General features: G+C 38.1%; 1 protein-coding gene across 7 annotated transcripts in view; it reads right to left on the reverse strand.

The window, feature by feature from the left end:
• The window catches only part of SCFD2 (sec1 family domain containing 2), a 493,080-nt gene that overhangs the window by 253,058 nt on the left and 212,241 nt on the right, over positions 1 to 27,781 (reverse strand). For 6 of the 7 annotated variants that reach the window (NM_152540.4, XM_017007787.3, XM_047449646.1 and 3 more), the window contains exon 5: positions 19,294 to 19,543. In NM_152540.4, the coding sequence (NP_689753.2) occupies positions 19,294 to 19,543 (250 nt within the window). Of the gene's footprint in view, positions 1 to 19,209; positions 19,544 to 27,781 lie in introns of those variants that run through there. The other variant, XM_047449647.1, reaches the window with a different exon arrangement.

The raw sequence follows: 27,781 nt of genomic DNA on the forward strand, positions 1-27,781 counted from the left end.
GAGTTCAAGGGAAAACCAGAGAGTTGAAGTTGAGCTAAAACTAATATGAAGTTTCGCTAAAACTAAGGGATATCTGTGGCATTAATGAGAGACACTTTCCCCTTAAAAGTAAGCTCCATGGCAACACACACCTTGCCTACTCTACTATTGACCCTTTGCCAGTACTACCTTAGATGCACAGTTGTTCTTCCATAATAATCGGTTGAAAGGAGAGGAGAGAAAGAAGATGAAAGAACAGACACTTTTGCCACTTTAAAATGGCAGATTGCGTTAAGTTACATCACATTGTTTTTTGTTTGTTTTGAGACAGAGTCTTGCTCTCTGGAAGTGCAGTGGCGTGATCTCGGCTCACTGCAAACTCCGCCTCCTGGATTCAAGTAATTCTCCTGCCTCAGCTTCCTGAGTGGCTGGGATTACAGGCATGTGCCACCATGCCCAGCTAATTTTTGTATTTTTAGTAGAGACAGGGTTTTGCCATGTTGGCCAGGCTGGCCTCCAACTCCTGGCTTTAAGTGATCTGCCCGCCTCAGCCTTCCAAAGTGCTGGGATTACAAGTGTGAGCCACCACGCCCATCCTCACACCGGTTTTTAAATGATGGTGTACACATGGAATTTACCTTCCTTCTTAAAACTGGTACCTTGCAGGTCCCTCACACGTGGGACAAATAATTTGCCCACTTAACTACAGAGTACAAGTTGTGTGGGTGAGCCACACCTGCAGGGAAAGCAGGATTCCCGAGAACCACCGTCTCGGCAGAGAGCTCTCCTCTTTCTCCCTGAGTTCCTCCCAAAAAGTTATTTGGCCTGTTTCATTCCTATCATAATCAGGTTGGAAAAAAAAACCTTCAGAGAACCAGAGGATTAAAAGATGGGTTTAAATAAAAAATTTTGCATTCCATGTGTTGGCTGAATGGAGTGCTCAGTACCTGACCGGAAAACAAGATGTGGGGACAAAAGGAAAGAAGAGAAAAGCAATAAAGAAGAAAAAAACCTGAAGAAGTAGAGAAAGAAACAGCTAATTTAACCCAAAACTTCAGAATTTAAAAATCTGGTCATGTAAAAATATTAAAACACAAAGCAACATTTCCACTAACAGCTGATGTGATTTGTTTTCATTTCATGAAATATTTTCTTCACTATATTTCAAACAATGGGATTTAAAAACTCTCATCCAAAACTCATGGTTTCCTTTGATGTTCCAATTCCTTCTTCAACCAAACTTTCTATTCTCCAAAGCTAAGTTCATCTGGTAAACTTGCAACATATTTGCCCTGTTGCACAGCATCAGAGGAAACTCTGAAATGCAATCAGCTTCTTTCTTATTCCTTTATTCATGCAATAAATATTTATTAAGAGTCTTCTATGTGCGCACCCCCCACCCCAACCCCCAGCACAACTGGTGCTTGAGATACAACGTTGAGCAAAACTCACAGAGTTTATGATCCTGGAGGGAAGGCAGACACTAATCAAAGTAACACACAAATAGGTAATAAACTTTGTTCACTTTACGACACACAATGGGGTTGTGAGGCATTGAGCTGGTCTGGAGGTTCAGAGAAGGCTGATCTCAGGAGTTGTCTGAGCTGAGCTCGGAAACGGTTAGCTGGGCTGGGCTGGGAATCAGTTGCAGAGAACTGCTCTTGCAAGCACTTAGTATCTCAGGCAGTATAATATATTTAAGGAACTGCAAGGCCTGTGTCTGGGACAGAGGGAATGAAAGAAAAAAATGGCCTCCAGACTAAGAAACTGGCCATGGAAAAATGACCTTCTGCTGCTCTGAAAAGTCCAATGTGGAGGAGTGTGTCACTTTGGTCCAGACAGAGAGGACACGGTGGGTGTAGCACACTATTTGGTAACCATTTCTAGCTCCTCTCTACTCTGGAGAGTAATAACCCAGTTTTTTGTTTTTTTTTTTTTTTAGCCCAATCATGTGCATTTTTGCTATTCTGTTATTTTAAGCAAAATACTGATTTTTTTCACTATCAAATTGCAGAACAAGGGCCATGTCCTAAAAAAAAAAAAAAAAAAAAGCCAATAAAAAATCTAATATATGCATGTTCCCAGAATTGTTTTCATTTGTTGAATCTGACATTAAAATAAATTTAGACATAAATTGGCTCAAGAAAAAACGTAAAGATAATACTAAGGAAGTAATTAAGAATTTGATATTTTGATTTTTACGTGCACATACGCCATCAAAAAATTCCAACAAATATATCCTGATGGCTTTTGTTCTGTTCTAAATTCTGTATATAGCTGACCTGATGTGTAACAGCTTCAACACTTCCATTCTAATATCTGGAAGGGCTGCTGCTCTGAAATGCTATAATCACCTCAAAGTCAAAAGCCATTAAATGTTCATCTCTAAAATTAAAGGCATGTACTCATCTCAAATGATGTCATTTGTCTGGGCTTCTGCGTTTCCGAGGAGAACAACTTGAAGTAATCAAGAATATAATGTGCAGCCTCCCAAGGTGACCAGTTATAAGATATAGTATGTGCATGTTTTCTGATTTCTCTCGGAGAGCTGTAAGGTTCGGAGGGGAGGAGGGGTGAAGGGGAATGGTAAGCAAGAGATTAAAGTTTAAAAAAATAATAAAGATACATTTACAGAATAAATTGGTGCCTTGAAATATGTTTCTGGGAACAAAATTTAAAGCATCCTACATTTTTAAAATATATGAAAATATGTGCTTCACTTGTTATCCATGGAAGAGATGACCAAAATACTATGAACTATAACTACAGTGTTATTGTTTATGTGGTGCACTGTTTCTATGATTTCACAGAAGGGCTGTGCATTCCCAGTTAGCATGTATCCAATCACATTTTAACTATGAAGAAAACTTTCTTGGCCAAAGATTGAATTCTTTGCAAGGTGGTGATTTGTATGGAAAAGAACCCCCAAATTGTACATCACTATGTGAGAAGAACAGTACAGATTTGTTTTTCTTAACTACCACAACACAAATAAGGAAATAAAGAGTTTAGTCATTTTACAGTATAATTTGGCTTTAAAAAAGCTTCAAAAATTAAAACTCTAAAGCATTTTGCATGTTGGGAAATGTAAGTTGCTAATGAACACTGCACCTCATCAGTTTCCTCTGCCAGTTGGCTTTCTGTCAGGTTGGCAACAACTCAAGAGCCAGACAGGAAAGTTCAGGCGTGTATCTTGGAAGAAAACAAAACAAAACAAAACAAAACAAAACAAAACAAAACGAACAGAAAAAAATAGAGAAAGGGGCTTCATTTTGTAAACACTTCAATGAAAATTAATACTCCACTTGGGACCAATTCAGTCCAGGTGCTAAAGACAGAATAAACAAGCAACACATGAAGGCCTAAAAAGTCAGGCTTCTGTGGGAATTATATTATTGTTTACATTTAAAACTAAATTTTAAAATATGAATCAATATCAGCATGGTTGCACACATACATTCTCCTTCTGGCTTTAAAAATGTTAATCTTCCATTCTCACATCATAAAATAATGTAAGTCAAAGCCTAGAGCCTGTTGCATCTCTTTCAATATTTTTTTGCTGCAATTTTAGGCTGAAATGGTTGTACCTAAATGTTTTTCCTCCCATTCAAGATCTTAATGAACCTCATTTTGAAATTAGAGGATCCTTTTTACATTCTGATTAAGGATAAATTTTCTTTTATGCAATAATGTCTCCTAGAATGTGGGACATAAATTCAGCACCAACATTGTCAACAACTTCCTTTCCAATGTTAGTTTTAATATTTTTATGTTGACAGTATATCCATGCCTTCTTTATTCTAGGCACTGGTGGCCTTAATACACCAACTGCAAAACACATGCAAAACAAAACCCCACCTGATACCTTCACCTGGAAAGCATATATGGGATCAGGCTTTCTATTTACCAAATACATATTAAAATACTAACAGTGGTTTTCTCTGGGTAGTGGGTTTATAAATTAGTTTACATTTTATTCTGTGTTTATTAAAGAGCAAAAGATCACACTGAAAATCCTGACTTCACCACTATACAATATATCCATGTAACAAAATTAGACTTGTGTCCCATAAATTTATAAAAATTTTTAAAAATAACTATAACATCTTTCAAGTATTCTAAAATAAAAAAGTATGACTTCTGTAATAAGGAAAAATCCAATTATAAATAATCCATCATAAAGGAAATTATAAACATAAAGAGAGATGTTTTTAAGACACTGTTTTTAGGTTTTTAAGACACTAGAGGAAATTCCATACAATTATTGTTAGGCATACAAAAAATCTTCAAGTAATTGTTTAGATGTCAGTGACATTTTCATCTCTTTATAAGTAAAATATCAAACTCACTGTGAGAGAAGACAAGATACCTCTATTTTTAAAATACAGAGATATAAACCTGGTTCTTTAATGAATGCTCTTATGGTAGACGTATCTAGTTTTTGTACATTGGTATCCCTTCCTTTGTGGAATCACTCCAACTGTCAATCTAAGTGGCAGTTGTGGGACTGCCAATTGCAGTGCTACCCCACTGACCATTTCTTCAAATCCCTTCCCCCATCTCCCCTCTCCCTCTACACACACACAGTTATGGCCACACGACTTTGGTTTGGCCAAAGGGTATCCCATCCCCCTGGCAAGTGACTGAAGGTCAGTCAGCTTCCTTTCCTGGGACTGATCTACAACCTCTGGAAGAAAAAACCCTCTTTTTTCGTGGGTTGCTATTCTAGAATGACATAAACCAAAAGTGGTTGGGGGTGATGAGGGGTTATACAGAGGCAGTTGTGATAGGAAAGGATGAGGTCGATAACTAAAAGGAAGAAAATGCATAGAACACTAACTAAAAATGCAGAGAATATAACTAAAAGGAAGAAGATGCAGAGAACACTGATCATGCTGTTGGGCGCCTGCCCCAACTCTCCTAAATATAGCTCTATCTCTGGCAAATATCTCTATCTACACGCAAATATAAAAGGCAAACACCAACCAGAAAAACATATTAGCAAAATATATGACTAAGAATTAATAACTGTAATGATCCAAGTGCTCTGATTTTAAATCATTAAGCATAAAATGAATGATTCAGCAGAAAAAAAGGAAAAAGGCAGTACCAACAAAATGAAATTTATATGTGGGCTCTACTTTGTTCTTTATGATTACAAATTTTTGACAATGAGAATTTATTACTGTAATAATAGATAAAAAAGCTTAAAGGCATTAAAATATAAAATTATATTTAAGAATGTTGCCTGGGATCAGTATGCAGGATGAATCGGTGGGTATGCAACGAGTCAGAGATGTCAGATAGAAGGCCATGGGCCAATGGGTATCTGAGATAAAGAGGCATCTTTAGAGAGATCTGAACAGTGTATCAAAGGAAATAGAAATGGGCTGCAGGGAGGTGCTGCCTACCATGGGGGCGAAGGTGAGTCAATGACTCCATTGCTTCCCTCCTGAGATAATGGTGTGACCCTGAAAAAGACAGATAGTACTGAGGAAGAGCTGATTTGGAAGTGGATGAGGGAGTATATTGATTCAGATAAAAATAAAAAGCATATGAAGCTAGAACCATAGAATGGCAGAGAAAGAAGAGATCTTAGATTTGTCTAAAACAAGATTCTCATTTTATGATGAGTATACTGAGTCTGCAGCAAGCTAAGTGACTTGCAGGTTACACAACTGTGGGCATACTTAGGAGTGAAAATTCGGCCTCCTCCCCGCTGTGCTCTTTTCCACCACATCACATGATCTCTCCAATTTGATCCATAGCTTTGTGTTCAAGAAAACTACTCTTGTGTTCCATGCATTCCATCTCTTCTCTTTCATGATTGAGAAATATGTATTGTATCTAATGTAGAGTTAACAAGAGTCAGTAATAGCTAATCTCTTAAACAATTCATTGAATAATTACAAACACAATTATTACTGCCAGCATTGTCATAAAAATTGGTGATATGGACAGTATGTGTCATGCATTTGTACACATATAAATATTAGTAGAAGAAGATTCATTCCAGTGTCTCAGATAAGAATAATCATTTTTGTGATGTGGCATGGAAAAATTAAGTACTGGAGAAAGTAATTTGTAGTGATCCTTTAATATGTTAGCAAATTACTTAACTAGTTAGCTACCTCAATAGGAAGCTCTAAGTATCTTTCTACATAGCTTGTGATATATTTTAAATATGTATTAAACATCTTAAACTTCACTGATACAGTGTTTAGTAATATGTGCTATGGGTAACTATTTTAATATGTTGGATAGTAAAACTAAATATAACGGTTCCAACATTTCTCCTGGGAGTGATTTTGGCAGACATATGTTCTTCGTCAGAGTTTCCAGCAGAAATCTTAGAAATCAAGAGAAAAAATAGACCCTATTATACCAAACAACGTTGCAAACCACAATAGAAAACAAGTATTTAAAGCTGTTTTTTGTTTTCTTTTGTTTTGTTTTGGCAGCCCTGAAATAACAAATCTGAAACACTAGAAATGAAGATGTATTCTGTAATGGAAAAGTCTAATGCTGGCATGGCACAATAAATGAGAATATTTAAATTAGAAACAAGAGATTAGTCAAAATCCTTTCTGAAATGAGTGTTCCCCCTACACCCTGAAGTTTTCCTTTAGCTGAGTGGGTGGATTTGACAGTCATTGTTTTGTACACTTTCACTTACTGTAATGAGTTAAAATTTTCATTCAAGTGTGGGTGACATGAAAGCTGGTGATGGACGTGTAGAATCAGTCTTCCAGTTGCCATAGCAACATCCTTGTCACCACCAAGCCAGCAGGTATGCTCAAGGTTTAAGGGACAATTTTTCAAGGAAAAGATTTTCAAAATCCTGAAAACTGTCTTTCAACTGGAATACTGTCCTGAGGAGCAGAAATATGCAGGTATACATATCCTGAAATTTGATGAATTACTGAGGAAAAACTGTGGGATGAGAGAAGAATGCAGAGGTGATAATAAGGGAAGCATAAGAGGAAAAATTCTTATTAGCTCCTTGTCTTTTACAATTCTCTGTTTGAGGCCGGGTGCGGTGGCTCATGCCTGTAATCCCAGCACTTTGGGAGGCCGAGGCGGGTGGATCACAAGGTCAGGAGATCGAGACCATCCTGGCTAACACAGTGAAACCCCGTCTCTACTAAAAATACAAGAAATTAGCCGGGCGTGGTGGCGGGTGCCTGTAGTCCCAGCTACTCGGGAGGCTGAAGCAGGAGAATGGCGTGAACCCGGGAGGCGGAGCTTGCAGTGAGCCCAGATCGCGCCACTGCACTCCAGCCTGGGCGACAGTGCAAGACTCCGTCTCAAAAAAAAAAAAAAAAAAAAAAATTCTCTGTTTGGAAGTACTTCATATGTTATAAAGAAGACTCACTTTCTACAAGGCTGGAGAAAATTACTTGGCTAAGTATGAAAAATGCTTTGTTTGAAAGACATAACTTCTCAAACATAATAAACAAAACGTCCATGCCTTGTGCTAATGGAGATGAAAGCTTTTATAATTAAGTGGTAGCCATGAAGAACAATAATAATTTTATATGGTCTACATTAGACCCAGACTTTTCCAAAGAAGAGAGATAACATAAACAAATCATTGCAAATAGATTTTTACTACTGGTTGTAGAATGTGGTCTTGTTTTACTATGGATAAGAATACATACATGGTTTCCTTTGGAAACTAGAGCTAAAGACATTAACATGAGCTGCCTTCCACAACCCAAGGAAAAACAAATCCTCAACTCCTTCCTCATTCACAGTTGATAAGACTCTGCTCTGTTAGATTTCTAGTGGGGAATGTAAGAGAACCCCAATTGAAAGCTCACTAGACTATGCCTACCTTCCCAATGTCTTTAAGAACACTGCTTTCCATTTGTCTGTCAATGAACATTTAGGTTGTTTCCATAGCTTGACAATTATGAATAGTGCTTCAGGGAATACCAGAATGCCAATATCTCTTTGAAAAAATGGACTATTCATTCAACCTTAAAAAAGAAGAAAATTCTGTAATATGTGACAACATGGATGAACCTTGAGGACATTACAGTAAGTGAAATATGCCAGTTACAGACGGGCACATACTGTGTGATTCCATTTATATGAGGTATAGGTAAATTCATAGAATCAAAGAGTGAAATGATGGTTACCCAGGGCTGGGGTGAGGGGAACTGGGGAGTTGCTTGCTAATCAATGGGCATAAAGTTTCAGGTATGTAAGGTGAAAGAGTAGAACTTATTCTACTTATTCTGCTGTGCAACATGGTGCCTATGGTTAACAATACCGTATTGTACACTTCAAAACTTAAGAGGGTAGATCTCATGTTAAGTGTTCTTATCACAATAAAATAAAATTTAAAAAAAAAACAGTGCTTTTTAAACCAGACCTGTCTTTCCTCATTTGTTATACATGGTTGAATTTAAACAAGGTAATGAACAGGTGAGAAAAATAGAGAAGAAAAAATTTAGAGAAGAACTAAAATCAAAATTTTTAAAAAGTTGATGATAATTTTTAAAAAGCGTGGTTCACTACAAAGGTAATTTATACATTTTATGCAAATAAATGTGAAGCTTTTGATTATTCCAATTCGAGTAACAGGAATCTCTATACCATTATTTTATGTCAAAGTTTTGGGAATTAAATAGCAAAGGAAGCACAGATATAGCTGTAGCTAGAAAACATACCATCTTGACAGAACATGAGGAGAGCCTCACACTTTTCCATAAAACTTACTTTTCACATTCTAGTTTCTTAAAGACCTAGAGCTCAATTAGTGCAATTCCTACCAATGCAGAAGGCCCAGTGTCAGTCAGTTCCTCATGCTGGGAAGCTCTTCTCATGGAGTAAATCAGACGTTCTAGCTGGCTTTAGTTTCCAGAGATGTCTGCCTTGTATTTAACCCAAAACTGCCTCTCAGCCTTTTCTGTTCAATAGACAGAGTTCTATGAGAAGCCTACTTCCACTTAAATGGTAACTTTATAGAATCTATTTGAAAAAAAAACCAAAAAACTATTCTACATCACTAGTAAACTTAAGCCAGATTAAAATGTAAACAAATGTAATTTTTTTTTTTAGTTAAAAGTAATCAAAAAAGGAGATCATTGGGTACTTTCCCTTGCTTTCTGATAAAAGTACAGGGCATCATTTTATCCATCTGGAGATCTTTTAGATTTCTAATAATTTCTAGAGTTAGAAATTCAAAAGCATTCCTCTGTAATCAATGCCTAAGGCGGGGGCTCTAGAATAAAGACTGGAAATTGTTAAGTCCACAAGCTGAATTCTGTCCCCCAATAAGATTTATTTGACTCATGTAATGTTTTGGAAAATAAACCAATTTCTTAAACTTTGGTGATTTCAAATTTTTAAAAATCCAGATTCCTGGTTTCTTGAGAGATGGCAATACCAGACTCATGCTTCCCTGGCAAAAATAAGAGGATCTCAGGCTAGGCGTGGTGGCTCACGCCTATAATCCCAGCACTTTGGGAGGCCGAGGTGGGCGGATCACAAGGTCAAGAGATCAGAGATCGAGACCATCCTGGCCAACATGGTGAAACCCCATCTCTACTAAAAATATGAAAAATTAGCTGGGCATGGTGGTACGTGCCTGTAGTCTCAGCTACTCGGGAGGCTGAGGCAGGAGAATCGCTGGAATCCAGGAGGCAGAGGTTGCAGTGAGCCAAGATTGTACCACTGCACTCCAGCCTGGCAACAGAGCGAGACTCCATCTCAAAAAAAAAAAGAGGATCTCCAGTTTGACACAGTCTCCACCACTCCCTATTGTCCCTTTTAGTAAGACTATACATCCCTGCCATTTATCATTGCATTTTCACTGTTGTTTCCCCAAAACCTAACCTACTTTACTTATTTATATTTCTTGCTAGCCTCTGTAAATACCTGAGTTTGAGATTCCTGTGCTAACCCATGATTTCAACCATTTTTAAAGTATGAAGACACAATATAATTATGCTTTTGATACCTGTTAATTGAAAAATGGGAAAAAATTATGCAACTTCAGCACTGTCTTTAAATAAATTTATCTTTTATAAATCACAACTGTATCTACAAATATTTGTATATTTATATGTGAGAGTAATATTTAGTTCATGGATGATACATAAAGCACACATGAATCAGTAAACCTTTGCACTAAGTCTTAGGTTTTCCCAGGGATCCGTAAGCCAAAGGTTGGGAATCACTGGTCTAGTAAAAGGAATTCTGGACTGGGAATTGGGAGACACAAACCTTAGTCCTATCCCCTCATTGAACAGGCTATGATTGGTGATTTGAGGCAAGTCAAATAACCTTTTGTGGCCTCAATTAACCTTGTTGTCCTCATGAGCAGAGCGAATAGACTAGATAATTGTTGAGAACATTTCCATCAATAAAACACAATAATATTATGCCTTATGACTCCTTTTACCTACCATAAAAACCCAGACATCCACAAAACTCCCAAAAAGTATACTTTGATGGATTAAAGGAAAGAATTGTCATGGAAAACCTGAAAACACAATGAAAACTAACTCTACCATTTCCAGATTTAGACACAATACCATATTGTCTGTCCCAAACCATGTTTGAAAAACTAGTAGTGTATCTGCAAATAAATTCTCCCAAAGAGAAGTTCATATTACAGATACATTTCACTTGAATTCAGATATTTGGGCTACATTTATTAGACATGCAAGTTTATGGAAATCAGCACACAACTACTAAGAGTCAGAGTCAAAACCAGAACCCAGATCCACTTGACTCCGAATCCTGTGCTCAGAGCCTCTACATTCTATTACCACTGTCCCAGGGTTTCAATGCTTAGAGAGCTTAGACTAATGCTAGGTACATAAATGTGGTCAATAAATATTGATAATCTGAGAATGTTTATGATATAAGTCCAGCACAGAATAGATCATTATTTCAGTATACACTGTAAAAAATTTTAATATTATAACTGTAATATTAAAACACTGGGCATCACTCCAACTCACAGTATCTTGCCTTAGAATTTCCTCTGTTAGAGAAGTCTGTAATTGTAGCAAATACAAGTTTCCTACCTAATGTACATTTTCACTTTCTATCTTCTAACAGAATCCTTACTTTGTTTATGACAAATATACACCCAGTTACAATATACACTCATCAGATTCTCTTGCAGTCAGAGGTTGCCATGAAACCGAGATCTAGCCAAGGATGCAAGTCTTCTGAGTGGGGCTTTCAAGAAAGCTGTTGTTTTCCTAATAAAAAAGGACAGATTTGGCCAGTATATGCCTTTTACCTTCATCCTTCCTCACTTCTTTCCCAAAGCATGGACACTTCTCCCTGGAGGGGAAGCATCCAGCGCATGACCATGATGATAAAAACCACACCTAGGACAGTGAAGGAGGAAGTCAGAAAGAGCATGAATTCTGTCTGGACTTCTTGCTTAGAAAAACAAACCCCAGTTGTTATGCTAATATGGTAAATTTTTCATTGTATACAACTGGGTATCCTAATGCATATAAAGCTATAGTAATTGATAGTCCCAAATTATCAACAGTAAAATAAGAGTTTGATAAATGTAAATTACAGTTCTTAGGGTATTATCATGCCTCTATCATGAACCACTGCATAGATACTTTGAGTTATTCATTCTCTAGCTTTACACTAAGCCTAAACAGATCTAGCCCTTGTTGACCTGGACTTTAAAGATACTATAGAAATACAGGGAAAATCAATGAGTAATAATGTGAGTAAATCAATGAGTAATAACAAAACATGTTTAGCAAGACAAATTTTTCCAAAGTAGTTTTTTGTGTCAAAAAGTAATATTAAAGTCTTGTTTTCCTTTGTTTCCTGATTCAGAGCCATCTGACCAATATACCCTAAAGCATTGGTTTGCTCCTAATAGGTCAGAGGTGTGCCAAGCTGCTGCTTCACCTCAGTCCACAGGTCAACTGGGTAGGACCTAGACTGGCCAGAGCCCCCAGGGCTGGTTGCCTTTGTTCATAAGAGTCTCGTCCACTTACCTCAATCTACTATGCAAACATTCTCATTGTCTATGCACATGATGAGAAAAGGGTGGGGAAGCACTACCCTATATGACAGCTAGATGCTATCAAAATCATAATGGTGGTGGGAGAAAAATAGCCTATTTATAATACTAGATGGACCAAACATTAGTTAACACACATAACATCATTTTATTCTCAGCAAAATCAAGAATGGTCAGTAGGGCAGTTACGTTTATATCAAGGTTCAAGGATGGATGATTTGCCCACTAACACTCACTGCTGAAAGACAGCAGAGCCCAGACTTTTAAATCAAGAATTTCTACATCCAAACACTATGCTTTTTTTGATATACCTCTCTATATGATGACATTCCAAGTTTACACAGATCTTTAAAAATAGTGTTTTGATTTCGTTCTCTGAAGAAAATTCAAATGGTTTTCTTTGTTTTCTCTTGTGACTGCCATGCAAACACTAACGTATGTTGAAACTGATACTCTCTTAGAACTTAGCATGACTGAGAAAGCATAACACTAATCAACATACTTGGCTGTACCAATTTTCTTTTTACAGCTCCCTACCATTGAAAAGCAGAGAGCCAACCCTTGACATTTTGTGTGAGTAGAAAAGTGAATTTTTGCCCACCACGCTAGAAATCTCCTCAAAAGTATCTATGAAAAAGTGAACAGAATAAAAGTAAAAGAGTATGCTGCCATTGAGTATGCTTAAATTTTTGTTTTGTTTTGCTTCATTTTGTCAGAGATTTGTATTGCCTTTCCATACAAGGGAAGAATATACAGAAATTAAAGAAACTGTCAAAAGTAAACTACATATTTAACAGATGAAAGAAAATCCCTCTCCCCCTCCCCCTCCCCCTCCCTCTCGTCTCCGTCTCCCCTTTGCACGGTCTCCCTCTGATGCCCAGCCGAGGCTGGACTGTACTGCCGCCATCTCGGCTCACTGCAACCTCCCTGCCTGATTCTCCTGCCTCAGCCTGCCAAGTGCCTGGGATTGCAGGTGCGCGCCGCCACGCGTGACTGGTTTTTGTATTTTTTGGGAAGACGGGGTTTCGCCATGTTGGCTGGCCTGGTCTCCAGCTCCTGACCGCAAGTGATCTGCCAGCCTCGGCCTCCCGAGGTGCCGGGATTGCAGACGGAGTCTCGCTCACTCAGTGCTCAATGTTGCCCAGGCTGGAGTGCAGTGGTGTGATCTCAGCTGGCTACAACCTCCACCTCCCAGCCGCCTGCCTTGGCCTCCCAAAGTGCCGAGATTGCAACCTCTGCCCGGCCGCCACCCCGCCCCACAAGAAGTGAGGAGCGTCTCTGCCCGGCCGCCCATCGTCTGGGATGTGAGGAGCCCCTCTGCCCAGCCGCCCAGTCTGGGAAGTGAGGAGCGCCTCTTCCCGGCTGCCGGCCGTCATCCTGTCTAGGAAGTGAGGAGTGTCTCTGCCCCGCCGCCACCCCGTCTGGGAGGTGAGGAGCGTCTCTGACCGGCCGCCCAGTCTGAGAAGTGAGGAGCCCCTCTGCCCGGCAGCTGCCCCGTCTGGGAAGTGAGGAGCCCCTCCGCCCGGCAGCCGCCCCGTCCGGGAGGTGGGGGGCAGCCCCCGCCCGGCTGCTGCCCCGTCTGGGAGGTGGGGGGCGCCTCTGCCCGGCCGCCCCATCTGGGAAGTGAGGAGCCCCTCTGCCCGGCCGCCACCCCATCTGGGAGGTGTACCCAACAGCTCATTGAGAACAGGCCATGATGACGATGGTGGTTTTGTCGAATAGAAAGGGGGGATGTGTGGGGAAAAGAAAGAGAGATCGGATTGTTACTGTGTCTGTCTGGAAAGAATTAGACATAGGAGATTCCATTTTGTTCTATACTAAGAAAAATTCTTCTGCCTTGGGATGCTGTTAATCTATAACCTTGCCCCCAACCCCCTGCTCTCTGAAACATGTGCTGTGTCCACTCAGGGTTAAATGGATTAAGGGCGGTGCAAGATGTGCTTTGTTAAACAGATGCTTGAAGGCAGCATGCTCGTTAAGAGTCATCACCACTCCCTAATCTCAAGTACCCAGGGACACAAACACTGCGGAAGGCGGCAGGGCCCTCTGCCTAGGAAAACCAGAGACCTTTGTTCACATGTTTATCTGCTGACCTTCCCTCCACTATTGTCCTATGACCCTGCCAAATCCCCCTCTCCGAGAAACACCCAAGAATGATCAATAAATACTAAAAAAATAAAAAAAAAGAACAAAAAGAAAAAGGGATATCATTTAAACACAGTATGTAGAAAAGAATAATTATTGAATCTGTACTGGTCTTTAACTTTTACACTTTGATCTTTAATTCTGTTATTGTGATTGAGTCCAAAGAAAAATAGTATGAGTAAAATAAAAAGAACACCAAAAATGCTAATATATATATATATATATATAAATTTTAATCCACAGGGCAATCACCGTCAAGAGATATTATTGAAATAAAATTTAAGTTTCCTAGCCTTGTTTTAGAAAGCTGGGCAACCAATAGATTTCAATGGCTTGAAGTGATACTTTAATTTCTTTATAACAATGCAGAAACTAAAGAGGATGCATTCATAAAAATAGGGAGGTATGGCAGGATCTATAAGTAGCTAATACAGACAGATTAATAAGCATAGGCAATATCTAACATATTAACCAGAATATTAATTCTCTGTTCAGAATACAAGAACATAATGGGATGGTTGAGCATGCACGGCATAAAACGATATATGTAAGCAAACATGAGTTACAGAATATAATACATGAAATGGTTACCACAGGTGAGGTTGTGGCAGGTTTAGAATATCATGTTTAAAGACATGGGCTACAGATCCACAATACCTGGGCTCAATTCCAGGCTCTACTGTTTATCAGTTGGGTGATGTTAGCACACTTAAATTTTTAGTATACAAAAATGGTTACTTTCTTGATCCTATCAACAGTTAAGATGGTAATGGAGGGTAGCCAATCATATACCCAAAAGATACAGTCCTGAACTCCCTAATCCTTAATGTTGAAATCCTAAAAGATCAGAAGCCCTAAAGCTGAAATCCTAAACATTGTAATCCTAAAAGTATAATTCTGGAAAAAAAATTTTTTAATCTTTAAAGATATTTACATTTTTAAAAGGTGATTTATTTGATAAACAACATGACAGAACATTCCATAAGCCACTTTACACAAAAAAACAGCCAATGATAATCTATATTTTTGTAAGCATAAACACTCAGGTATACTAATGACAGTCACAGAGGTATAACAGTTAAGATGAGAGGAAATATATTTATAGAGAAATAGGGTCAAAAAGGGAAATGTATACATATATCTCTCTAATTGGTAATTGTGTGCACCCAGCTTTACGTAACTGCAATCATCTGAATTACTATGATGAACAACCTCTTGTCTTTTGACAAGATTGATCAAAAACCAAAATGGCTGAGACAGGAAAAAAACAAAACAAAACACACAACGAGTCACTACCCACAAGAGCCAAGATTTTGAGAAATTTTGTCTTTCACAAGTGCAGATGTATGAAAAGGACACCTCTTCATTTACTGAGGAAGTTTCAATGCTTTTATATACATGTACAATGCTTACACACAAAGTCAATGTTGTGATAATGTACATTTGTGGAGTCAAATTTGAAAAAAAAAAAAACATTAAATCAGTTAGAACTCTTTGAAAGTCTACACATTTTATACCTCCAATTTATACTGGATGTTGGTAACATGGCTCAGGCTGAAGAAGCCTCAGGATTCTGGGGATCAGTGATGTAAGTTCTGGAGTCTAAAGTCCAGCAAGCCTGGAGTTCTGATGTCTAAGGCAGCAAAAGAAAAGTCTGTCCCAGCTCTCAGAGAAAGACCAATTTGCTTTCTGTATTATTATAGTTCTATCCCGGCCCCAGCTGTTTGGATGCTGCCCACCAACACCGAGGGTTGATCTTCCCCACCAAATCCACTCAGGCTCACACACTCATTTCCTCTGGAAACACCTTCACAGACACACCCAAAATAATGTCTTACCAGATTTCTAGGTATTCTTTAATACAGTCAAGTTGACAAGTAAAATTAAGTCCACAAGTCCACCCCTTGTCAACTTGACAACCATGCACATCTTCTTAAACCATACTTAATTTCCAAATAAAGACAATAACAAGAAAATGGTTCCACCAAACATGATTCAACTACCCTGTGTTTGTGATTTTCAGGATTTTAGATGTTAGGAACTTAGGCTTTAGGGATTTTGATCTTTCAGATATCAACACTTGGAGCTGGTGTTCAGAAATGTGTCTTTTAAGATTATCCAAACCTATAAAACTAAAGCACTATATAAAAAGTAGAATTGTTATTCAATTGTTAATCGATTCCCTATTTTCAATAATTCTTTTTAACCAAATTTTCATCAACCACAAAATGTGCATAAGGCATACAATAAATTTTGCCACTCAGTAACAAGAAAGCCAAAACTGTACATCGGAATAACATGAGTGCAAACCTTACGCCAACTTTCCAACAGCAAACTGTAGGCAAGTTCACTGTAAAAGCCAGGCTAACCTAGTTCCAGCACACACAAAGCACATTTGGAAGGCAATTCAGTTTTCCAATATATACTGGGATATCCTTTCCTATTCTACAAGACCGAGTCAGAATCACCACTGCCCCAATACTATGTTTTTTATCCTGAGATGTAAATCAATAATCATTTCAGCAGCTAAGTGAAAACACAAATGCTTCTTTTCAGTACATTTTTGATTTCTCAACATACTTAGTAAGAGGTATGTCTATACTGGCCAAGTAAGTCTATCTTCAGAAATAAAGTCCTATTGGTCTTCACAAAGGCTGAAAAAATGTGTGTGTGTGTTCCAGTGGTAAGTTTGAATATGTCAAATTTATTTGACATCTTCTTTACCCTGTTTAAAGTGTATATCCAAAGTTAATCTAAGCTGTAGTGTGTACTTAGTATTATAAGATGTCTCTAAAACTTAAAAATATGCTAAAATTTCCACAAATTCTTAATTTTTAATCTTTAATTTCTGAGTATACAAATTTTCCTAATATTAGTACAAATGCACAGAAGTATTTTAAAAGCAAGAACATGCAATATCCTAAGCAACCATAAATAGAGAAACTAATTAAAAAATGAAGTGCTGGGCCAATGAACACCTTGAGTGAATATCAAATGAATATTCTTACAGCATGATTTCAGTTCCAAAAGTACCATAGCAACATATAAATGTTTAAAAAAGCTATCCAAATAACCTAGGTTAAAACATGTCATCTTGTTATCTGTTTCCAAAATTATGCTTCTTAGGAATAACTTTTAATTAAATTCTCCTAGCATTCAAACCTACTTTGAATCCCAGCACTCTTCCAAGCACTGTATAAATCATATTAAAACTTTCTAAGTTGATATTTATTGATGGCCAAACACATGCAATCACATATAGTGTTATACTTAATGAAATGGCTTTAAGTTTTTCTTAAATGGATTTTAAGTTGGCAAATAGGTTTTATACTAAGCAAGAAAATGTTTCATTTCTGTGGAAACTTCATTCAATTCCCATCTTGACAGGGTTTCATTTTCTATAAGCAACCATAAGAAAGGTCAACAGTGGGCACAAAGTAAAGTTCACATGCATGAGAGACTAAGGTTTACAGCTGCACATTCTGCTCCCGGGAAGTCTGGACACTTCTCCCAGAGAGGCCCAACAGAGGACAAGAGGAAAAGATGGAGGATATATAAGCGGCCTCAGCTGCAACTTCCTGAATGAAGAAGTCTTCATACACCTAAACATACACACACACACACACACACACACACACACACCAGCAAATGAATAGAAATGTGGTACATTTTTAAAGTACTCACATTTCACATAGAACTTTTAATAACTTCTTACTTTCAGATAGACACAGGCTCAATCCATACGCATGGAAATTAGCTTTACACAAAATATAAATAATGAATTTGATACAAAATAACATGAATGCCTTCATGAGTTATATTGCAGTTATTATTGGAAGTGAAGGTAGTTAGATTTTATGATGTTTAATCATATTTCCCTAAAATTAGCAGAACCTACTTTACTGGGATGTTTAGGTATTATTCTGGATAATACCAATTAATTCAAATTCAAAATAAAATAAGAAAAGTCAAAATATAAGGCTGGGCATGGTGGTTGACAGTTGTAATCTCAGCACTTTGGGAGGCCAAGCAGAGAGGATCGCTTGAGCCCAGGAGTTTGAGATCAGCCTGGGCAACACAGTGAGGCCCCATCTCTATTTAATTAAAAAAAAAATACACACACATATGTAATATATGTGTGTATATATGTGTGTGTATATGTAAGTATATATGTTATATATACACACGTGTGTGTGCATGTGTATATATACATATACATGTATATATATGGACTTATATATGATATATATTATATGTACACATACAGATATATATACTGGACATATAGATACAGGTGTGTATATATATACACACACAGGTATATATACATTGGAAATTGGAATATATATATTTTTTATATATAATATATATATAATATATAAAAACACTACTGAAAATGGCAATTTCCAATCCTATAATATTGTGTAACATCTCAAAGAAACAGTTTTTAAAGTTTGAAATGACAATCTCACAGAGAATATATCAATAGGAAACTCTTTGAATAGGATGTACTACATTTTATTTTTCCTTACAGATAATACTCTCTGTATTTTGCTATTTTAACAAGGTCTAGGCTCTAAGGAATATTAATTAGACAAGCAATTAGAAGAGAGGCCATGTCACTACCATGCCATTGCAGAAAAATACTGCAGTGGAAACCTCTAATCCTATAGGCCAGGGGTCGCCAACCCTGGGCTGCAGACAGGTACCCGTCCATGGCCTGTTAGGAACCGGGCACAGCAGGAGGTGTGCAGTGGGCAAGCAAGCATTACTGCCTGAGCTCCGCCTTCTGTCAGATCAGCGGCAGCATTCGATTCTCATAGGAGTGTGAACCCTACTGTGAAGTGCACATATGAGGGATCTAGGTTGCATGCCCCTTATGAGACTCTAACTAATGCCTGATGATGTGAGGTGGAACGGTTTCATCATGAAACCATGCACCTCCATCCCTGTCCCCTGATGGCTGCCCTTGGTGCCAAAAATGTTGGGGACTGTTGCTATAGGCTGGCTAGCATTCATCAGGCCTCATGAAATTCCAAACAACTCCAGTGAAGATGGTTACCTCCTCTTCCCAAAACAGTATTTATTTTGAAACCTGTTTCGTGTATCAGTGATGTTTGTGTCCTGTATCTTTGTTAGACACTCACCCGTAATTTTTTGCAGCAAAGGTGACAATCCAGATTCCTCACAGAAGACCTGAGCCAATGCTTTCTTGACTTTTTCTTCTGCTTCACACAGGTCTTTGTCTACCGTGAGCTCTCCAGTGACAGAATAAATATATATGAGAAGGATCAGCAGTTCCTCAGGGCTGTAGTCCTCGTTGGTTCTCTGGGTTACAGGCTTAATCATGGGCAGCAGCTGATTTAACACAACGGACATTGCTGACTCCCCAATGCTCTAAAATAAAAAATGATATGAAAATATGTCAATCTTGTATAAAGACATAATTTATGGATTACATTAGTCGAATGATAGCTTTCAAACAAGTCTGTATATGATATTTACTGACTGCATCACTTTTTATTTGTGTGTTTCTTGTCCTGGAGAGAATACTACAAGAAGTTTGGCATCAGAGTTTTTGTTTTGAAAGTCCTAATTTATAAAATGGCCAGTCAAGTTGTAGGTTCCATTATATCATCTTAACATTGCTTAAACAAATAGGAGTCCATTAATTTTAAAGAAAAAAAAGTAAGTACTTCAGATGAAATTTTAAAGAAAAATAGTATATTTGTAAGATAATATTATTTAACAAAAAAACAAAAATGGCAGCATCTATATATCCAAATGAATGCTGACACTACTTCAGAGGAATCACCTCGGATTTTCCAGCATATTCTTTATAATAGTTTCTATATCAGCAAATATTAGCCAGAATACTTTTTAAAACAACAAAAAGTCACTTTCTGCTAAATCTGATGAATAAAATACAGAATCACACAGGGTAATGGTCACTTAGGGTTCAAAATTTCTTTGAGTGAGTCAGTAGATAACTCGCATTAAATTTAAAAAAATTGCCTTTATATCTTCCACAACTTCTCGAGTGATATTTAGCAGAGGATTTCAAAATTCTTTGAATGTGATAATAGCACTGTATTACTGGAGTAACTGTGTAAGTTCCCAGAAACTGTACCTATTTCTATCATAAATTCTGAGATTTTTGGTGGATACAGAAATCCTCATCTTAAATAATATGATTTAACTCCTCTTAAAATATAAAATAATCCTGTAAGATAAAACTCTACACTTTGTATTTATATTCAATACAAATTGAATATCATATTCAAATCAGGGGCCAAATTAATACAACTTGCAACTTACATTATTCATTCAGAAGCATTCATTGAGCACCTACTATGTTCTAGGCACTAGTCTAGGTATACAGCAGTGCACAAAACAAATTCCCTGCTTTCATAGAGTTTACATTCTAGTTAGAGAAAACAATTAAAAAGCAAAAGAAGTAAAACATAAACAGCAGCCCACCCTTATCCATGGTTTTGCTTTCCATGGTTTCACTTACCTGTGGTCCAAAAATATTACATACAATAAGATATTTTGAGACAGAGATAGAGAGAGACCCCATTCCTAAAACTTTTAGTATAGTATATTATTATAACTGTTCTAATTTTTATTAGTTATTGTTAATCTCTTACTGTGCCTAATTTACAAATTAAACTTTATCATAGGTATGTATAGAAAAAAACACAGTATATACAGGATTCAGGACTATGGATAGTTTCAGGAATCTACTGGCAGTCTTGTGTCTTGGAAAATATCCCATGCAGATAAGCAGGGACTAGTGTAGTATATTAGAGTAGTAAGTGCTATAAACAAAAATAAAGCGGGAAAGGAAACAACATCTTAAGATGTGTGTCTGTGTGTATGAATATGCACACATAGTTTGGGGCTGCAGTGAGCTATGATTGTGCCAGTGCACTCTAGCCTGCACAACAGAGCAAGATACTGTCTCTAAAAAAATTTTTTTTAATGCTCAAAGAAGAAAAGCTTTATTGTGGATACAGTTTACATAGGAAAAGTCACGTTAAAAGGAAATATTAGAATAAAGAAATACCAATAGAAACTCTTCCTCTTTTTGAAGAGAAAGTTAACAGCAAACATGTTGCTCAATGTTGTTCTGTGCTGAAATGATTACCAAAATGAGCTTTTCCAGTCAAGCCATTTCCACACCTGGAAAAATTTGGATAGATCATCTCAAGGTTAAGGTTCACGATTATATTTTATACACAAAAAACAGCTGTTACCATTTATTTCCACTAAAAATCTTGGATGTTCACAATGTACCATAGAAAAATAAAATGTTCAGTCCTTGGAATGGACGAGGTAAAAATGGAAAAGAACGCAACAGAGATTTTACTGTCACATGGTGACAAGACACAATTTACCAAGTGTAAACACACACATGCTTCCAAAGGACCAGGGGGCCGAAAGTTTTGAAGACACCCTAGGGCTGCCCTGTAGCTTCAGGAGTCTCTCTAGAGCAGGGGTGTCCAATCTTTTGGCTTCCCTAGGCCACATTAGAAGAAGAACTGTCTTGAGCCACACATAAAATATACTACCACTAATGACAGATGATGAGTTTTTTAAAAATTGCAAAAGAATCTCATGATGTTTTAAGAAAGTTTATGAATTCCTGTTGGGCTGCTGCATTCAAAGCCATCCTGGGCCACATGCAGCCCATGGATCATGGGTTGGGCAAACTTGCTCTAGAGGAACTCTCAAGTGTTTCTTTGCTTTATAAGCTGCCAAAAGTAATTTAAAAGAAAAGAGTCCTGTGGTTGGCCTGTTAAAGAAAGGTCATGAAGGCTGCAGCTTTCATTTTGGCTGTTTACTCTACCACTAACTCCTTAGATGACAATAAACAGATTCTTTCATTGCTTTATGTCCCATTTCTAGAAACTATGTGTATACATAAAGCATCTATCCTACAGGGGCCCTCTGGGTCTCCCCCCAGAGCAAAATGATTTTTTAAAATATAGTTATAAAAAGTTTATATAGTTATAAAACAGAATAGAATCATCATCATGATCATTTGTAAAGATTCATTCACTAACATCTGGCCTTCAGAGCTTCATTTTCAAGTCATTGGTCTAAGATACGTGCAAGAGAATAAAATCTCTCACTAGTGATACCCTATCAGTATTCTGTTGTACATGCCAATTTCTAAACTTACATTCTAAATCTGTTTAATGCATCCCACGAAGCCTATAACTGATCTGAATACAAAGTCAGGAATATTGACCAGTCTTAAAGAGCCATCAGAGATGGTGGAATAAACAGACTCTATTTCAAAAAAGCTAGATTCCAACCCCGATTGTTCCTCTAACTCCTTAACTTCTCAGGATCTCTTCTTTCTAAAATGACATGATCTGACCAGAGGATGGCTGGGCAATAAGTCATGTTATGCCCAGGTCTCCATTTTCACTTTCTCCCCCTTTTCTTTTTTTAAAAACTTTACCATTGTTGTGAGGGCAGCAATTCATACTCTTATTGCTGGCTACTTAGCAAAACATAAATGCTCAAAAAAGGCCAGGTGTGGTGGCTCATGCCTGTAATTCCAGTACTTTGGGAGGCCAATAGGAGAGGATCACTTGAGGCCAGGAGTTTGAGAAGAGCCTGGGCAACATAGCGAGACTCCTGTCTCTACATAAAACAAAAAACTAGCTGAGCATGGTGGCATGTGCCTGTAGCCCCAGCTACTCAAGAGGCTAAGGCAGAAGGATCGCTTGAACCCAGAAGTTTGGGGCTGCAGTGAGCTATGATTGTGCCAGTGCAACAGAGCAAGACCCTGTCTCTAAAAAAATTTTTTTTTAATGCTCAAAGAAGAAAAGCTTTATTGTGGATACAGATGGACAAATCCAGAAATAACTGTAGACATGCATGTAACATGGGCTGGCATGGATACATGTATTTCCTACTCTGTCCACTGGGAAGTAGTGCTGACACAGTAGCAATGATGACAGCCAGTGGCCAGATCTTAGTTTCTAATATCATTCTCCAATAAAAGGAAACAGGAATCCTCAGAGAAGTGATTCTAGGGATGGGGAAAGGAAAATTCAAGATGAGTCTGCAAAGTCTTTTTTAAAAGTAAGAAAGTGCTAACAAACCAAAATGATAAGCACAAGTCAAAAGGACACACAAGCCAAATGTAAGACTTCCCAGTGACCAAAGCTGGAACAACATGAAACCCAAAATAAATAAAGTAGTATTTGATTTTAACCCAAAGTATACAATAAATATATGTCAGTCCATATTGATATAAATGAGTGGTTGGATTAATAAATATAAATGTAGAGGAAGAGACAAATCTTCCTTAAGGAATTCCAAGTAACCTATGTAGATACTTTTACCTTCAGGAGGTAGCACTTAATTCTCCCTATCCCTTGAATATGGGCTGCATTTAGTGACTTGCTTCTAAAAGTAGAATATTTTTAGAAGGGAAAATGAAGGTGTATCTTTACCTTAGCATAACCAGTGATAAAACATATTGATATCATGTCCCTAAGATGATGCCATCTTCCCTCATGTGATTTGATGAGAATGGTGCTTCACCTTTCCAGTATCTTCCCCAGAACCCATAACCCTAGTCTAACCATGACAAAAACATCAGAAAAATCCCAACTGAGCAACATTCTACAAAATGCCTGGCCAGTACTCCAAATTATGAAGATCGTGAACAATCAGGAAAGACCCAAAATCTATCACACGCCAGTTGAAACTAAAAAAATAACCTAACTACTAAATGTAATTGTAGTATCCTGGATGGCCTCTTGGAATAGTAAAAGGACTTTAGGGGAAAATTAATGAAATCTGAATGAAGTCTGGAGTTTATAGTTAATGTACCCATGTTAGTTTATTATATTTGATAAATGCACCACAGTAGTATAAGATTCTAACAATAAAGAGTATACAGAAACTCTCTGTACTATCTTGGGAACTTTTCTGTACATCTAAAGCTATTCTAAAATAAAATGCTTAGGGAAGGTAAAGGAGGGAGAAGGAAGGGGAAAAGAAGAAAGTAAGGGGAAGGGAGGGCAAGGATGAGAAATAAAGACTTCGTGGTCAGGAAGAACTCCTCACAACCAGAGCCATCAGCCAAGATAAGGGACTGACCCAGGAAGCAGTAAAGTCTCCATCAGTGGCAAAGAGAGGCAGGGTGGTCATCTGCCCAAGATGAAGCAAGGAGAACCCTGTGCCACTTTGGCTTGGAAGGTAAACTAGACTAGACCCTCCTAGTGCTATCCATAAAAGCATGGTTCCAAACTGAATGTTTATACATTTTCTGCTCTTCTCTATTCTTAGAATGGAACCTTGACAATAACGAAGAAAAAAAATCCGTGACTCCATAGATTGAAAATGTTTTAAAGGCAGAAGATAGAATCTCAAGAGGATTAATAATAAGGATGTGGGAATAAGATAATATGCTTGGGTTTCAATCCAGGCTGTACCAATTACTAGCTGTATGACCTTGGGCAAATTATTTACCTTCTCCAAGTCTCAATTTCCTCATCTGTAAAATGGAAACAATACCATAAATGCCTGAATATTAGACAATCCTATATCACAGCCATCTGTGTGCATAACATTGGGACAATTGCTTAAACTACTTTGTGGTTTCAAATGACGTAATCCCCATAACAGGATAGTCTTTGTAAAGACTCAAATATAAGATGATGCCCTATTTTCTGAGGGCTAATTTGGGGAAAGTACTTTACCTGATTTAGGAATATATAATCATAGCTTTTGCTTTATCAGGTTGTTCTGAAGTTGTAACGTCAGAAGTGAATTACACAACCAGTAAATATAAAATATTACTACCACGACTCCCACCTGCTACCCCACAGGCTCCTTTCTTAGAACTGATTAAGATGGTTGGAAAGAGAATTAGACCTTCTAAGAAGAGGAAGTTAGTAGTCTCAAAGGAGGGAGGGGCAGCCTACAAATACTGGGTTTGAAATCACATCTTGGAACTTAACTACAACAGTCAGTGAAAGGTCAAAGGCAATATAAACATTATTAAACACTGCCATTTAAAAAGGACATGCACAGCAAACCAAATCTGAGACCAAAAGAAAAAAGGTTTCCTTACAAAGTACTGAGATTAAGTTTCTCATTTGTTTTGATATAAATGGGCTTACTAGCAGGAGGTAGAAGACTGAAGCTGTGTCTAGAGTGACAAAACCTTTTGTTTATCTGAAGTCTGGGGCTCCTGTTATTCTTGAATGAGTCCTCAGTCACTATGCGCAAAAGGCCCTCTGTAAAATATGTGTTTTTTTTAGAAAGCTGACCTTTTTAGTTCAATTAAAATGCCACTGCAAAGTCAGAGTTTGTCTCTGTACTGGCTACCTTGGCAGGCATGAGGAGCAAACAGGCTTTATTCCACGTGGCTGCAGAGCAGGCCAGGCTGGCTGTACACCTGCCCTTCTATGGTGCACAGCCTGAAAACACTCAGTAAAACTCCACATCATGCTAAGCTTCTGCTGGAGAACCCATCTCTGCAACTCATCGTGTTAGTCCATTTGTGTTGCTATGAAGGAATACCTGAGGCTTGGTACTTTACGAGGAAAAGAGATTTATTTGGCTCACAGTTCTGCAGGTTGTACAAGCATGGTATTAGCATCTCTTGGCTTCTGGTAAGGCCCCAGGAATCTTCAATCACAAAGGAAGGCAAAGGGGGTGCTCAGCACATCACATGATAAGAGAGAGCAAGAGAGAAGTGGGGAGGTACCACACTCTTTTAAACAACAAGATCTTTTATGAACTCAAAGCAAGAACTCACTTGTTACGATGAAGAGGGCACCAAGCTATTAATGAGGGATCTACCCCCATAACCCAAACATCTCCCACCAGGCCCCACCTCCAACACTGGGGATCACATTTCAGTCGTTTTGTATTATTATTTTTGACAAACCAGACTTTACTAAAATTTCTGTTCATCTGATGTAATTAACAAGGCAGTAAAAGGTAAATCCAGTCTCCTATATAAACAAAACACTTCAAAGAATCAGTACAAAGTATACCAAAGCTTGAGACTTCATGAAAGAGGATATCCAAATACCATTAGGCACATATACATGTACTCAGCATCATTAATCAACAGGAAAATGCAAGCTAAATTCACAGTAAATCCGTATCATACTAACTGGAATGGCTAAGTGAAAAAAAAAAATTAAAAAAAGAACCTTCCAATATCAAATGTAGGCAAGGATGTGGAGCCACTAAACGTCTCATACATTGCTACAAGGAGTGAATATTAACATAAACACTATTAAAACCTGTTTTGTGACATCCACTAAAGCTGAACACAAGAATTTCTGATGAAGCAAAAACTTCATTCTTAGGTATAGGGGTTTCAATATGAGATTTGGAGGGGGCAAATATCCAAATATCATTCCATCCATGGCCTCCTCAAATCTCATGTCCTCGCAATAAAAAATACAGTCATCCCCTCCCAATAGTCCAAGGTCTTGACTCATTCCAGAATCAGCTCAAAAGTCCAAAGTCTCATCATAGACTCAAAGTAAGTTCCTTTCACTTATAAGCCTGAAAAATCAAATAAAGCTATTTACTTCCAAGATACAATGGTGGTATAGAAATTGGGTAGATGTTCCCATTCCAAAAAGGAGGAATCAGCCAAAAGAACGGGGCAACAGACCCTACACAAGTCTAAAACCCAGCAGGGCAGACATTAAACCTTAATGCTCCAAAAAAAAATCTTTGACTCTATGTCTCACATCCTGGGCACACTGGTGTGAGAAGTAGGCTCCCAAGGCCTTTGACAGCCCTGCCCCTGTGGCTTTGAAGGGTGCAACCATGAAGGTTGCTGTCATGGGTCAGAGGTAAGTGTCTGCAGCTTTTCCAAGCTCCGGATGCAAGCTGCCAATGGCTCCACCATTCTGCAGTCTGGAGGATGGTGCCCTCCTTCCCACAAAGCTCATCTTGAGAGTGTCCCAGTGTGGAATCTGTGTGGGGGCACCAACCTCACATTTCCCCTCCACACTGCCTTAGTAGAGTCTCTCTGCAGGGGCTCCACCTCTTCAACAGGTTTCTGCCTGGGCATCCAGGCTTTCCAATACATCTTCTGAAATCTAGGGGGAAGCTGCCAAGCCTGCTTCACTCATGCACTCTGCGTGCCTACAGTCTTAAAACCATGTGAAACCTGCCAAGGTTTATGGATTGTGCCCTCCAGAGCAGCAACTAAAGTAGTATCTGGGGCCCTTTGAGCCACAGCTGGAGCTGGAGTGGCCAGGATCCTGGGAGCAGTGTCCTGAGGCTGCATAGGGCAGTGGGGCCTCAGATCTGGCCCCTGAAACTATTCTTTCCTCCTACACCTCTGGCCCTGTAATGAGAGGGGCTGCAAAGGAGATTTCTGATGCTTTCAAGGCCATTTTCTCATTGTTTTGGATATTAGCACTTGGATCCCTTTTAGTCATGTAAAATCTCTCTAGTAAGTTGTTGCTCCACAGTCTGCTTGTATTCCTCTCCTGAAAATGCTCTTTCCATCTCTACTACATGGCCAGATTGTGACTTTTCCAAATTTTTATGCTTTGCTTCCCTTTTAAATATCAATTCCAACTTTAAGTAATTTTTTTGCTCCTATATCTGGTCATAGGTTGTTAG

The sequence above is a fragment of the Homo sapiens genome, chromosome 4 (assembly GCF_000001405.40).
Source record: "Homo sapiens chromosome 4, GRCh38.p14 Primary Assembly".
Classification (NCBI taxonomy): Eukaryota; Metazoa; Chordata; class Mammalia; order Primates; family Hominidae; genus Homo; species Homo sapiens.